The 13,673-nt window shown below is 56.6% G+C and overlaps 1 protein-coding gene across 6 annotated transcripts in view, besides 2 other annotated features; it reads left to right on the top strand.

Annotated features, from left to right (window-relative positions):
• Nucleotides 1-13,673, top strand: part of ABR (ABR activator of RhoGEF and GTPase) — a 226,204-nt gene that overhangs the window by 150,662 nt on the left and 61,869 nt on the right. For 5 of the 6 annotated variants that reach the window (NM_001322841.2, NM_001159746.3, NM_021962.5 and 2 more), the window contains 4 exons: nt 5,384-5,436; nt 6,307-6,447; nt 8,971-9,092; nt 11,819-11,984. In NM_001322841.2, the coding sequence (NP_001309770.1) occupies nt 5,384-5,436; nt 6,307-6,447; nt 8,971-9,092; nt 11,819-11,984 (482 nt within the window). Of the gene's footprint in view, nt 1-67; nt 248-5,383; nt 5,437-6,306; nt 6,448-8,970; nt 9,093-11,818; nt 11,985-13,673 lie in introns of those variants that run through there. The other variant, NM_001282149.2, reaches the window with a different exon arrangement.
• Nucleotides 8,228-8,728: an enhancer, noted in NCBI's record as "H3K4me1 hESC enhancer chr17:973573-974073 (GRCh37/hg19 assembly coordinates)". NCBI's record gives its function as "activates a minimal SCP1, AML or CMV promoter by ChIP-STARR-seq in primed H9 embryonic stem cells {active_cell/tissue: H9 hESC(primed)}" and the evidence as "EXISTENCE:reporter gene assay evidence [ECO:0000049][PMID:30033119]".
• Nucleotides 8,729-9,229: an enhancer, noted in NCBI's record as "H3K4me1 hESC enhancer chr17:973072-973572 (GRCh37/hg19 assembly coordinates)". NCBI's record gives its function as "activates a minimal SCP1, AML or CMV promoter by ChIP-STARR-seq in primed H9 embryonic stem cells {active_cell/tissue: H9 hESC(primed)}" and the evidence as "EXISTENCE:reporter gene assay evidence [ECO:0000049][PMID:30033119]".

The raw sequence follows: 13,673 nt of genomic DNA, 5'->3' as shown, positions 1-13,673 counted from the left end.
TCCTCCCCTTCCCCTTCCCTCCTCTCCTCGCCACGCGCCTCCCTCCCCTCCCCCTTGCTGGAAGAGCACTCCGGAGCGGCTGCCCGATGCTGGAGTCCGTGCGGCAGCATCAGCAAGGTGGCTGAGTGGCCGGGCTGCTGGTGGGCGCCGGGGAGCCTGGAGCGATGGCTGCACGCTCCCGCCGCGGGGACAGAGGCTGCCATGGAGATTCTCCTCATTATTCGCTTCTGCTGTAACTGCACCTATGGTAACCCAGGTGCTCGCTGTGGGAGGTGGCGGACCCTCCCACCTCTGGGGGCCGGCTGGAGTGGGCTTAGATGTGGCCGGGGAGGTTAGAGGGCCGCAGGGAAGGAGGGTGGGCGAGCGGCTGGACCTGAATTCCCCCTTCGTTTTGGCGGCATCCAGCCTAGAGTTGAAACCTGGGGGCTGCTCAGAGCAGGGCCGCTTGCAAATGGAAGGACCAGGCTGGAGGGGTCCAGGTGGCCCCGAGGATCGGTGGGGAATTGGTGGGCTAGTGTGAGAGAACTTCCTGGAGGGGCTGTTAGGGAGAGACGGCGACGAGCTGTGCCCGCAGACGTAGTAGCCCTGAGGCCAGGGAGAGGGTCTGCGGGGGCCAGGCACAGCGTGGCGATGGGTGGCGATGGTCCGGACGGCGGCGTTGCCAGCCGAGAGGGTGCCAGCGCGAGCCAGAGGGAGAAGTTGGGAGTTTCTTTGTTTCTGGAGAGAGGCGCGGAGGCTGGGCGGCACGGTATTGTGTGCTCCGCGCACATGCAGCAGTAGGCGGAGGACACGGAGGGGCTGTGGGAGCAGGAAGGAGAGGTTTGTTTCCAGCCGTGAGAGACCCCCAGCCGAGGTCTGGGCCCTCAACTGTGGAAGGCAGGTCGGCAGGGCCAGCGGGAGAGGGGTGTGGCAAGCTACTCTGTGAAGGTCACACACACACACACACACACACACACCACCTTTCGGTGGAAGGGACCCGGACCATCCTCCTTGCAGCTCCCGCAGCTGGCTGGGGGCTGGGGGGAAGTCCCGGGACAGGTGCATGTCATCAACACGACTGTCGGTCGTAGGAGGATGAAGCCGGCCCAGGTAGGGAGGTGTCCAGAAGCCCGTGGACCCTGCCTCAAGAGGCAAGACGTGCCAAGGGGTGCCCTGCCTGCCTGTGGCAGGGAGTGGGGTGGGCACGTGTGGCTCCCAGGCCGGCTGCTCTGGGCCTGAGTCTGTGGGAGCAGCAGGCGGCTGGTTTTAGGACCTTCCTCTTCCTTCCCACCAGGTGTTTCGGCTCTGCACCCTTCTCAGTCACTTTGCTTTCCTATCTCCCTGGTAACCTGGAGCTCCTTGGAGCTCCTTGTCGAAGGCTGACTTGAGGGGGATGGTGGCTTGCCGGAAGAGAGATGGCAGGTTTCCTGGGCTCCTTCCCAGGGGCGGCTGTGCTGGAGGGGCTGTGTGGGGCCAGTGCCCCCTGACCTTCTCAGGACCCTCTTGATGGAAGCAAGCTCTGAGGCAGCCTCTCTCCTGCGGCCCAGCAGGGCGGCTGCAGGAACCCTGTTCTCACTTGAAATTGGCCTGGTCAGCGATCAGAGGAGAAATGGTCTTTTTGGTCTGGCCTAGGAGTTGGTCAGGTCTTGACTCTGCCTCCCTGAAAAGGAAACGTACCCTTGGCTTCCTCTCCCTTCCCCAAAAGGAAGCTTCGACTCAGTGAAACGGACCTGGGACCTGGAGTTCACGTTGCTTCGGTCTCCGTGATACTGTTGTTGAAGTCGGCTTCAAAGTGGGGAATGAGGAGTGAAAGGGCCAGCTCGTGAGGAGGGGGCTCACCCCATCCTGGTCACTCTTTCCAAGAACGCTCCTGTGGTTCATTGAGGTTTTACAGGTGCTGCCTTTCCCTGAAGAAGGTGCAGCTCAAAGCAAGGAGTGCGGGTGGATCTACCCAGCTCCCACCACTTGTAGCCACAAGTCTCTGGCCTCAGTTGCCTTGTCTGTAAAATGGGGCTAGTGAGAATTGCTTCCCGTTTTAATCACAGGAAATAATGAGAGCAAAGCAGTTAACTCAGTACCCTTGGGCACAGAGCGAGTACCCAGCAAACTAGAGAGAGACCAGCTTGCTGCCCAAGTCAGTGTCAGTGGAGAGGGAGAGTGGGTGAGGCCGGGCAGGAAGCAGGCCAGCCTGCAGGAGCCCAGGGACAGGGGAAGGGCCAGAGCGAGTGCCTCACCCTGAGTTCTCAGGGGACCCCAGCGTGCAGGGGCCGTGGGGAGCACAAACTTCAGGGCCGCTCTTATTCCCCCGGTTCCCTCCGTATCTGATGTGGTCCCAGTGCCGCCACCCCCCCCACCCCCACCCCCCCCGTGCACCTGCCCTCCTGGCCGCCCTTCCAGGGCTCATTCCACAGCCTTACTCAGGTGGACTCTGGAGGTGACCACAGACATGTTAATAACCCCTCTGAAACCCAACCTGCCATGTGTTCAGACCTCTGAGCTTAGTCAGAAACCTCTTCCTCTTGGGACCCAAGAGAGGGCTGCGGGGAGCCGATAATGCAGTGTCAGCTTTCTGTGGAGCCGCCACTCCGGAGCCCACCCTGGCAGGTGTCTGCTGAGCTTGTGCTTTCTTTTGGGTCTCTGGGGTTCTCCAGTGTGATTTTTTCCCCCTGAAGATGGGCTGAGCCACAGGTGGGTGCCTTAAACAGCCTCAGAAATGGATCCCACCTGAGCTAGGACCTGGGCTGCACCCTCAGTGCCGAGGATACCCCAAGACTGGCCTCATTCCTTCAAGCTTCCATGGCCCATGGGGAGGGTCTCTGGAAACTGCTAGATAAGAAAGGGCTACAGATATGTCATATGAAGTGTATTTACGTAAACCAGTGGTTGGCCGGGTACTCATGCCTGTAATCCCAACTTTTGGCAGACTGAGGCAGGAGGATTGCTTGAGGCCAGGAGTTCGAGACCAGCTTGTATTTGGCTTGAGGCCAGGAGTTCGAGACCAGCAACATAGTGAGACCTTGTCTCTATATTTATTTTTATTTAAACGAAGACTCACTGTGTCGCCCAGGCTGGAGTGCAATGGCGCAATCTCAGCTCACTGCAACCTCTGCCTCCTGGATTCAAGAGATTCCCCTGCCTCAGCCTCCCAAGTAGTTGGGATTATAGGCGCCTGCCACCACACCTGGCTAATTTTTGTATTTTTAGTAGAGATGGGGTTTCACCATGTTGGCCAGGCTGTTCTTGAACTCCTGACCTCAAATGATCCACCCGCTTCGGCCTCCCAAAGTGCTGGGATTACAGGCGTGAGCCACCCTGCCCGGCCCCTCGTCTCTATATTTTTAAAAAAATTAAAATAAATACATAAATAAAACATAAAGCAGTGGTTTTCAACCATTATTATACATTCAAATCAGTAAAGAAGCTTTATAGAAATGCTGATGGCCCTTGTGGTCTTGCAGAGATTTGGGTTGAGTTGACGGGGCTGGGGAGCAGCATCTGTATCTTTTAACCGCTCCCCCAGTGATTCCGACAGGCAGCCAAGCTCGGACTGCGGGTAAGGCTGGTGGCCCTGCTGAGGCTGCATTTTCTTCACAGCCAGCAGATTGCTCCCTGAAGTGTCTGCTTAGCCGCGCACGGGGTATTTATATCTCAGGCTTTGGAGAACTATCAGGTTTGGGGCCCGGCTAGGGCGTGCGTGTTCACGCTGGGACCTGTCACAACCTGGTCTTATGGGACACCCAGTCTGGGATCCTTCTTCCCAGATGACCAACCTGCCTCTGTCACTGCCCCTGCGGCAGGAGGCCCAAGGTCATGACCCCAGGGACAGAGCATCCAGGTGCAGGACTGAAGCTGAGCCTCCTGTTGGGAGGGTGGGCGCAGCCGCGTACAGGAAGGGTGTTGGGAAGTGTTGATCCACCAGCTGCCACCTCCACCTGTCCCTGCTGAATCCCAGCCATCCTCACTTGGTGTCCGGGTTGTGGAGGGTGTGGCTCTTGGGGGCCTGGGCTGGCCTTGCCTGCGTCCTCCCAGCCTCTTTGGGGCTCTCATATGTGAGGCCTAACCTGAGTTGCTTCAGGAAACCTTTGCCCCTCAGGCTGCCACGTGTTTGAGAGCACAGCCTTTTTTCTTTTTTTTTGAGATGGAGTTTTGCTCTTGTTACCCAGGCTGGAGTGCAGTGGCATGATCTTGGCTCGCTACAACTTCCGCCTCCCGGGTTCAAGTGATTTCCCTGCCTCAGCCTCCCAAATAGCTGGGATTACAGGCATGTGCCACCACGCCTGGCTAATTTTTGTATTTTTAATAGAGATGGGGTTTCACTGGTTGGCCAGGCTGGCCTCGGGGAGCAGAGCCTTTCTGTGGAGATCAGGCCAGCCTCCTGGCCTCCAGCCTCCCTGCCTCCAGCCTTCCTGTGCTTTGCTATCTGGGGTTTGAGGATGTGGGGAGGGGTCTTTCCTCTGAGAGATGAGGCCAGTCCTGTGGATCACAGTGAGGCATGCCAATCCCAGCTGGCTGTGCCTGGCCTTCAGCTCCAGGAGCCTGAGAATGATAAGGTCTGGAGAGCTGCCCTTCCTGGAAACACAGCATGTCTCCTTCCCCCATTCTGGGGTCCTGCATGTGGCAGGTGTGCTAGACTCTGCAGGGCATGGCTGGGTGGAGCTGTGTGATTCTGGGGTTCTGCGTGTGGCAGGTATGCTGGACTCTGCGGGGCGTGGCTGGGTGGAGCTGTGTGATTCTGGGGTCCTGCATGTGGCAGGTGTGCTAGACTCTGCAGGGCATGGCTGGGTGGAGCTGTGTGATTCTGGGGTTCTGCGTGTGGCAGGTGTGCTGGACTCTACGGGGCGTGGCTGGGTGGAGCTGTGTGATTCTGGGGTCCTGCGTGTGGCAGGTGTGCTAGACTCTGCGGGGCGTGGCTGGGTGGAGCTGTGTGATTCTGGGGTCCTGCGTGTGGCAGGTGTGCTGGACTCTTCGGGGCGTGGCTGGGTGGAGCTGTGTGATTCTGGGGTCCTGCGTGTGGCAGGTGTGCTGGACTCTTCGGGGCGTGGCTGGGTGGAGCTGTGTGATTCAGGGCTGGGGGTCCAGGAGAGCATCTGCCTTGAGCCAGGTGAGGCCAGGACAGGCCTGGGGAGGGGGGCGGGGCGGCTCTCGATGAAGCCATGTCTGATGGGAGAGGAGGCAGGGCTGCGGAGGGAGCAGGGGCTGCCAGGGCTGTGTGTCACCTGTGTCTGCTGTTTGGTCGGCCCGGGGAGTGAGAACAGAGGTGGGGGCTGCCGTGGGCTCACTCTGGTGTCCCTCGAGGGGTGTTCACGTGGGAAGCATGCGGGTGGGGGGACGAAGCTGGTCTCTGGGGTGTTGGGTTGCCCTCGTCCATCATCCTCTTCCTCCTTCTCCCTGTCTCCCCCGACAGCTCTGCTCTACAAGCCCATTGACCGGGTCACTCGGAGCACCCTAGTCCTACACGTGAGTGTCAAGCCTCCGAATGGCCAGAGAGGGCTTAGGAGTTCAGTGGAAGACTGAGCCTGGGTGAGAGGGTGCTGGAGTCACCGAGAACAGTCCACCTGGGGAATCAGGGGTTCCTAGGCTCCAAGGATGCCTGTCTGGCCCGCGGTATCCATGCCGCCAGGCTAGGGCCTGAATACAGCTTGGCTACTAAGCTTGACGTGGCCAGGTGCTCCCGGGGAGGCAGGCATTCCTGCTTCCCCACCCGCTGCCTCCTGGTCTCCAGTGTCCTTGGAGCAGCTGCAGGGCAGACACAGGGTTTCTCTCCCAGCTGCTCGGGGGGATGAGCCTCCACCTGGTCTCCACACTGGGGAGAGAGTATGACTGTGGCCAGGAGAAGAGGGGGCAGCCAGGGCCCTCTCCCCTGCTGTGCTGGCTCTGATTTTTTTTTTTTTTTTTTTTTTTTGAGGCGGAGTCTCACTCTGTCACCCAGGCTGGAGTGCAGTGGTGCGATCTCGGCTCACTGCAACCTCTGCCTCCTGGGTTCAAGCAATTCTCCTGCCTCAGCCTCCCGAGTAGCTGGGACTACAGGCGCCCGCCACCACGCCCAGCTAATTTTTATATTTTTACTAGAGATGGGGTTTCACCACGTTGCCCAGGCTGGTCTCGAACTTCTGACCTCAAGAGATCCCCCGCCTCGGCCTCCCAAAGTGCTGGGATTTCAGGCATGAGCCGCCGTGCCCGGCCTGACTCTGATTTGTAGTTCAGATTTTGCGGGAATTAGGCAGGTCCCTGAGTGCCCACCCTTTGGATGGGGACTGAGCACTCCCCGGTGGCCACACATCAGGCCCCAGAGCCGCTCCCCTCAACTCACCGCCTCACCCTTCCCAGGACCTGCTGAAGCACACACCTGTGGACCACCCCGACTACCCGCTGCTGCAGGATGCCCTCCGCATCTCCCAGAACTTCCTGTCCAGCATCAACGAGGACATCGACCCCCGCCGGACTGCAGTGACAACGCCCAAGGGGGAGGTGAGCTCAGAGCCCGGCACGGCCCCTCACCCAGGCTGAGAAGTATCAGGTCCCTCGTCCCCTTCTCTCACACACGGGCGGCAGGTCCCTCGTCCCCTTCTCTCACACACGGGCGGCAGGTCCCTCGTCCCCTTCTCTCACACACGGGCGGCAGGTCCCTCGTCCCCTTCTCTCACACACGGGCGGCAGGTCCCTCGTCCCCTTCTCTCACACACGGGCGGCAGGTCCCTCGTCCCCTTCTCTCACACACGGGCGGCACCGGGTGCCTCCTGCCTCTCCAATCCTGATCCCCCATTCCCAGCCAAGGAGAGGTTTTCAGCCCTTGGTCACCCTGATGACCTGCAGCTTTCCAGGCCCTAGGCTGAGAAGTTTAAGTCCAGTGTCTCATTAATCCTCATAATAATCTAGGGAGGCCGGGCACGGTGGCTCACACCTGTAATCCCAGCACTTTGGGAGGCTGAGGCAGGTGGATCACTTGAGTTAGAAGTTTGAGACCAGCCTGGCCAACATGGTGAAGCCCCGTCTTTACTAAAAATACAAAAATTAGCTGGGCGTGGTGGCGGATGCCTGTAGTGCCAGCTACTCAGGAGGCTGAGGCAGGAGAATTGCTTGAACCCAGGAGGCGGAGGTTACAGTGAGCCGAGATCGCACCACTGCACTCCAGCCTGGGTGACAGAGTGAGACTCCATCTCAGAAATAATAATAACAATCCAGTGAGCCAGAAGAACCTGAGGCTGGGGAGTCTCTCCAGGTCCACCACGCAGTCTTTCAGCCACTGGTGTCAGAGCTGGATTCCTCACCTGGGACTGTCTGGAGGCCCACGCCGGGGAAGTGGCCTCCGGGTGCCTCATTCTTGAATGCAGACACCTGCCTCTGGCCAGTGTGATGCCGTCAGGGTCTCCTAGGAAGCGAAGGGAGCAGGAGCTTGGAGCTGCTTCAGCTCGGCCTGCACACGCAGTGGCTTGCGGGGAGCCCACAGCAGGAAAGGCTGGCGTTGGAGGTGGTGGAGGCCGTCCAGGTTGCCGGAATGTCCAGTGGGCACCTGCATGTGGGACAGCCGTTCCCTGGGGGCCCTTCTTGATGCAAGGGTGGGGACAGCCCAGCAAGGGGAGTACCAGGAAGCATGAGAGGGACAGTTGCCTTCGTGGATTGGCAGCCGGGCCCGGGTGAAAGGCTTCCTGTCCAGGGGAGGCCATTAGGCGGCCGTTACGAGTGAGGCTGACAGGGTGTCTGCTCCTGTGGTCTGTTTACGAGCCCCCAGGGTCTCCTGGGGAGAAAGTGGTGAGGGACAGGCCTGGACAGTGTCCACTGGGCAGAGAGAGCCGATTCCGTGCGGCTCCTGGTGCTGATGTGCAGCGTCTGGGGATCCCGTCGTCTGTTTTACTCTGGGGATATCTGAAAAATCTCCAGAGGGCTTAGCGTACCCTCCGTTTTCAGTCATCCTTTTTTTGAGACTGAATCTCATTCCATCGTCCAGGCTGGAGTGCAATGGCGTGACCTCAGCTCCACTGCAGCCTCCACCCTCTGGGTTCAAGCAATTCTCCTGCCTCATCCTCCCAAGTAGCTGAGATTACAGGCAGGCGTCACCATGTCTGGCTAGTTTTTGTATTTTTAGTAGAGACGGGGTTTCGCCACGTTGGCCAGGCTGGTCTCAAACTCCTGACCTCAGGTGATCCACCCGCCTCAGCCTCCCAAATTGCTGGGATGACAGGTGTGAACCACTGCGCCCGGCCTCGGTCATCTTAATTGTATACTTTGAATACGCTCACCTACGTATTACAGCAGATGTAGGTCACACCGTGTATCATACAGGAAAGGCTGGCACAGATGGGGACGACCCCCCGGCTCTGAGCGGGGGTTGGAAACTCTGGAACTCCCACGTGGAGCAGAAACCACCCAGAGCCCAGGTTAGAGTTGGCTGCAGGTCCCCTCTGGGCACTGCTGCAGTCCCAGGCTGGAGGGCCCAGGTCTCATCCCCAGGGGGCTGGAGAAGCCAGGGAGGAGTAGCACAGACAGGCCTGAGTGGGTCTCGGGTCTCGGGTCTCGGTTGAGCCGGGGCTAGATGAAGTTCGCCGCCGCGGTCGGGAGGGATTGCAAACGGGGATGTTCGTGCCCCAGGGTGGAGAAACCAGGTCGTCCCGGGCAGGGGGCTCCAGGGTTAGCCGCGGAGAGCCCCGTGCGTTGCACACACTTAATGTGCCAGGCACTGTGCTGTTTCACATGCACCATCTCGATGAGTCACCTTATGAGGCAGACCTCACTGTCCGCACTTAACAGAAGGTGAATCTGGGATTCAGAGAGGTCAGGGAGCCTGTCTGAGATCACAGCTGAGAAGCCTGTTGGCATTCAAACCCATGCCCATGTGACTCCAAAGGCAGTGCTTGAACCACCTTTGGTTAAGGGATGACAGGCTATGCCGCCTCTCGGTCCAGTCCTCCCTGGCTGGCCGTGCCCCCGTGTGCAGGCTCTGCCCTCGGCCGCATTCCCCTCTGAGCAGGCTGGGGGGTCTGCCATCTCCCTCAGACGCGACAGCTGGTGAAGGACGGCTTCCTGGTGGAAGTGTCAGAGAGCTCCCGGAAGCTGCGGCACGTCTTCCTCTTTACAGATGTCCTACTGTGTGCCAAGCTGAAGAAGACCTCTGCAGGGTGAGTGTGTGAGTCCAGGGGCACGGGGCGGGGGAGGGGGTCCGGACCTCTGCGGGGTGAGTGTGCGAGTCCGGGGCGGGGGAGGGGGTCCTGACCTCTGCGGGGTGAGTGTGCGAGTCCAGGGGCGGGGGAGGGGGTCCGGACCTCTGCGAGGTGAGTGTGTGAGTCCAGGGGCGGGGGAGGGGGTCCTGACCTCTGCGGGGTGAGTGTGTGAGTCCAGTGGCACAGGGCGGGGGAGGGAGGCCGGACCCTGCCACCCATGGAGCCTTCAGCAACTTTGTTGGTTTTTTTTCTTTTGAGACAGGGTCTTGCTCTGTTGCCCAGGCTGGAGTGCAGTGGTGCGATCTCGGCTCACTGCAACCTCTGCCTCCCGGGTTCAAGCGATTTTCCTGCCTCAGCCTCCTGAGTAGCTGGGATTACAGGTGCACGCCACCATGCCACCATGTCTGGCTAATTTTTGTATTTTTAGTAGAGACGGGGTTTTGCCATGTTGGCCAGGCTGATCTCAAACTCCCAACCTCAGGTGATCTGCCCGCCTCGGCCTCCCAAAGTGCTGGGATTACAGGCATGAGCCACCGCGCCTGGCCGGTTTTTTCCTTTTAAAAACTATATTAATTAACTTAATTTCACTACATAGCCTTTTTTCCTGAAAGTAAGTCATGTTTTTAATTATAAAGATAATATAAGGCCATTGGAGGAAACCCCGTCCCCCACTGAAGCATGAGGTCCGACTCCTGCCGCGCTGCTTCCTTCCCTGTTTTTAAATGTTCTCATGTTTCTTCACACAGTCGTAATCACTGTGAATGCCCAATTTGGGGCTCTGCTGTTTCTGTTTCGTGTCATAAGCATTTTCCCTGTTGCTGCCTCATCTTCATAATCATCCTTTTACTTTCCTGCACGATGTTACCCGTAGATGTGCCATCGTCTACTTAAGCATTCTCCTTTTATTAGACATCTCTGAATTTCTGCTAACTGCAGTGCTGTGAATATTCACCACGTCTCCTGCTACTATTTATTGAGGGTTTATGCCATGCCAGGTGCCGTGACACATGCTTTGAATACATGATTTCTAGTCCTCCCAACACCTCCACAAAGTAGCGACTGTTGTTCCCTAATCATAGATGAGAGAGGAGTCTTGGAGAAGGTAAATAAGCAGCCCAAGCTCGCACAGCTAGAGGCACAGGTGGGACTGGAACCCCAAGCTGACGTGCAAACTCCTTTGAGCCTCCTTCTCTCTACCCGGGAGGGTGGGACTGGAACCCCAAGCTGATGTGCAAGCTCCTTTGAGCCTCCTTCTCTCTACCCGGGAGTGTGGGTCTGCTCTGTGCCTTGAGCAGAGGCTCATTCTGCGTTCATTCACACATTCTTCCACCCACACTTAGTGATCAACTGCAGTGTGCCAAGCACACCCCTTCTCACGGCTGAGAAGCGGCAGTCTGGATTCAAACCCGTGTCTGTGGGACTCGTTTACCATCAGGCTATCTTGCCTCTCCCTTCAGCCCTCCCTGGTTGGCTGTGCCCCCAAGTACAGCACAGGGGACTCCACAGCCAGTGTGTTACACCACCAGGCTATCCTACCTCTCCCTTCAGCCCTCCCTGGCTGGCTGTGCCCCCAAGTATAGCTCAGGGGGAGCAAGCCCCACGCCCACCTCAACACTCAAGGGTCAGAATGAGAAGTGCAAATCTAAGTCCTAGGGGAAGGATCGATGATTATGAACGTCAATAAAGGGATGACTGGGCGGGCACGGTGGCTTATGCCTGTAATCCCAGCACTTTGGGAGGCCAAGGCGGGTGGATCACCTGAGGTCAGGAGTTTGAGACCAGCCTGGCCAACATGGCAAAACTCCGTCTCTACTGAAAGTACAAAAATTAGCTGGGTGTGATGGCAGGCACCTATAATCCCAGCTACTTGGGAGAATGAGGTGGGAGAATCGCTTGAACCCTGGAGGCAGAGGTTGGAGTGAGTGGAGATCGCGCCATTGCACTCCAGCCTGGGAACAAGAGCAAAACTCCATCTCACAAAATAAAAATAATTTAAAAAATAATAATAATAAAGGACATGACTCCCTGGAACTAGATCATGTTTGAGATAGTTCTGAGGCAGAGATGGCAATAATAAGCACACATGCTTCTGCCTGTCGTCCTTTGCGATGGCAGACATTACTAATCACATATGCCTCTGCCTGCTGTCCTTTGCCATGGCAGACATCACTAATCAACTAGGGCACACTTTCTTGCTAGACTTGGATGTGGCTTTGTAATCCTCCACCCAGTGTTGACCCATGTGACCACTCTTGATAAGAGGTGGCATTTGGAATAACACCTGTATTCCATTGCTAGCCTGAAGGATATTGAACACGGATAGTCTAGAAGGGAGGGAGGGGATTGTGGTGGGGAATAGGAAAATGTGAGCCCAGCCAGGAAGGCTTCGCTCTTCTTGATACCTAAGTGGTTTGGGATGTTTGACAACATGAGTCATCTGGGCCAGAAGCCTGGTAAGGTGAAGGGGCGGAGTTGCTCCCTGCGGGCGGGGCGGACCCCAGAACCCAGCTTTCATCACTCCAGTGTGTGTTTCCCAATCAGGCTCCTCAGGAGCAGGGATCGTTCTTGCTTCTGGCGAGTTCTCAGTCAACCCCTGTCAGTGGTTCTGTGGTTCTGGACCCAAGAGTTGAGGCTGGAAGAGCCAGGCTCCCTCTGGCTCATGGCTCCCTCTGGCTCGTTTGCAGGAAGCACCAGCAGTATGACTGTAAGTGGTACATCCCCCTGGCCGACCTGGTGTTTCCATCCCCCGAGGAGTCTGAGGCCAGCCCCCAGGTGCACCCCTTCCCAGACCATGAGCTGGAGGACATGAAGATGAAGATCTCTGCCCTCAAGAGTGAAATCCAGAAGGAGGTGAGCAGAGCTTGGTATCTGAGCCTGGGGCCCTTTGAGCCAGCTGTGTTGGGGGAGGTGGAGGCAGGAAGTTGTAAGGTTTGAGACTTTGAGAGGGAGCCTTGAGTGTGTAGTTACTAAGGGAAAGACCCCGACTACAGTAGCTCCAAGCAGATCGAGGGGGTCAGTGCTCAGGATTTCATAGGGCTAACATGGGAAGTGCCCTGGAAAGCAGTGCATGTTGAACACGATAGAAAGGGGAAGCAAGTAGCCAGGCGCAGTGGCTCACACCTGTAATCCCAGCACTTTGGAAGGCCGAGGCAGGTGGATCACCTGAGGCCAGGAGTTCGAGACCAGCCTGGCCAACATGGCAAAACCCTGTCTCTACTAAAAGTACAAAAATTAGCAGAGTGTGGTGGTGGGCACCTGTAATCCCAGCTACTCGGGAGGCTGAGGCAGTAGAATGGCTTGAACCCGGGAGGTGGAGGTTGCAGTGAGCCAAGAACATGCCAATGCACTCCAGTCTAGGCAATAGAGTGAGATTCTGTCAAAAACAAAAAAAAAAAGTGGAGGTAGAGGGAAGCAAGAGAAGAAAAAGCAGGCTTTTGTAAGGAAAAGCAGGACCTGTGCAAGGAAAAGGACCTGGGAGGCCTCTCAGAAACTGACAGATCAAGTAGGCAAATAAATAAGGAGAGAGAGGACCTGAATGCCACAATTAACATGCTTGACTTAAAAATGCAGAGAAGCTTGTGCCCTGACAGAAAACTGAGATTCTTGTCACACACGTTTGGGACCTTCACATTTATCCTATAATAGGCCACTAAGGAAATCTCAAAATTTTTCTGCAAGTTGATAGCATACAAGTCATGTTCACAGACCACAGTGGAGTAAAATTAGAAGTGAACAAGAATATTGGTCAGCCTGGGTGCAGTGGCTCACACCTTTAATCCCAGAACTTTGGGAGGCTGAGGATGGTGGATCGCCTGAGGTCAGGAATTCAAGATCAGCCTGGCCAACATGGTAAAAATCCATCTCTACTAAAAATACAAAATTATCCAGGCGTGGTGGATCATGCCTGTAATCCCAGCACTTTAGGAGGCCCAGGCAGGCAGGTCACCTGAGGTCAGGAGTTTGAGACCAGCCTGGCCAACATGGTGAAACCCCATTTCTACTGAAAATACAAAATTAGCCTGGCGTGGTGGCTTCCGCCTGTAATCCCAGCTACTCAGGAGGCTGAGACAGGAGAATTGCTTGAACCTGGGAGGCAGAGGTTGCATTGAGCTGAGATTCCGCTGCTGCACTCCAGCCTGAGCAACAGAGTGAGACTGTCTCAAAAAAAAAAAAAAAAAAAAAAAGCATTGGTTTGGAAAGTTCAAACTGACAAGGTAAAGAGGAAATCAAAATTCAAAATGAGAACTGCAAACTGTTTAGTGCTGTCTGGAAATGAGTGTACTACATACCAGTACCCATGGATGCAGCCAAAGTGCTGTTTAGAGGAACATGAATAGCCCTCAGTTCACATAACAACAGTGTCTAGAGGAACATGCATAGCCCTCAGTTCACATAACAACAGCGTCTAGAGGAACATGCATAGCCCTCAGTTCACATAACAACAGCGTCTAGAGGAACATGCATAGCCCTCAGTTCACATAACAACAGCGTCTAGAGGAACATGCATAGCCCTCAGTTCACGTAACAGCAGCGTCTAGA

This window comes from Homo sapiens, chromosome 17 (assembly GCF_000001405.40).
Source record: "Homo sapiens chromosome 17, GRCh38.p14 Primary Assembly".
Taxonomy (NCBI): Eukaryota; Metazoa; Chordata; class Mammalia; order Primates; family Hominidae; genus Homo; species Homo sapiens.
Note: the sequence above shows the minus strand (reverse complement) of the source record. Positions and strands in the feature narration are given on the sequence as shown.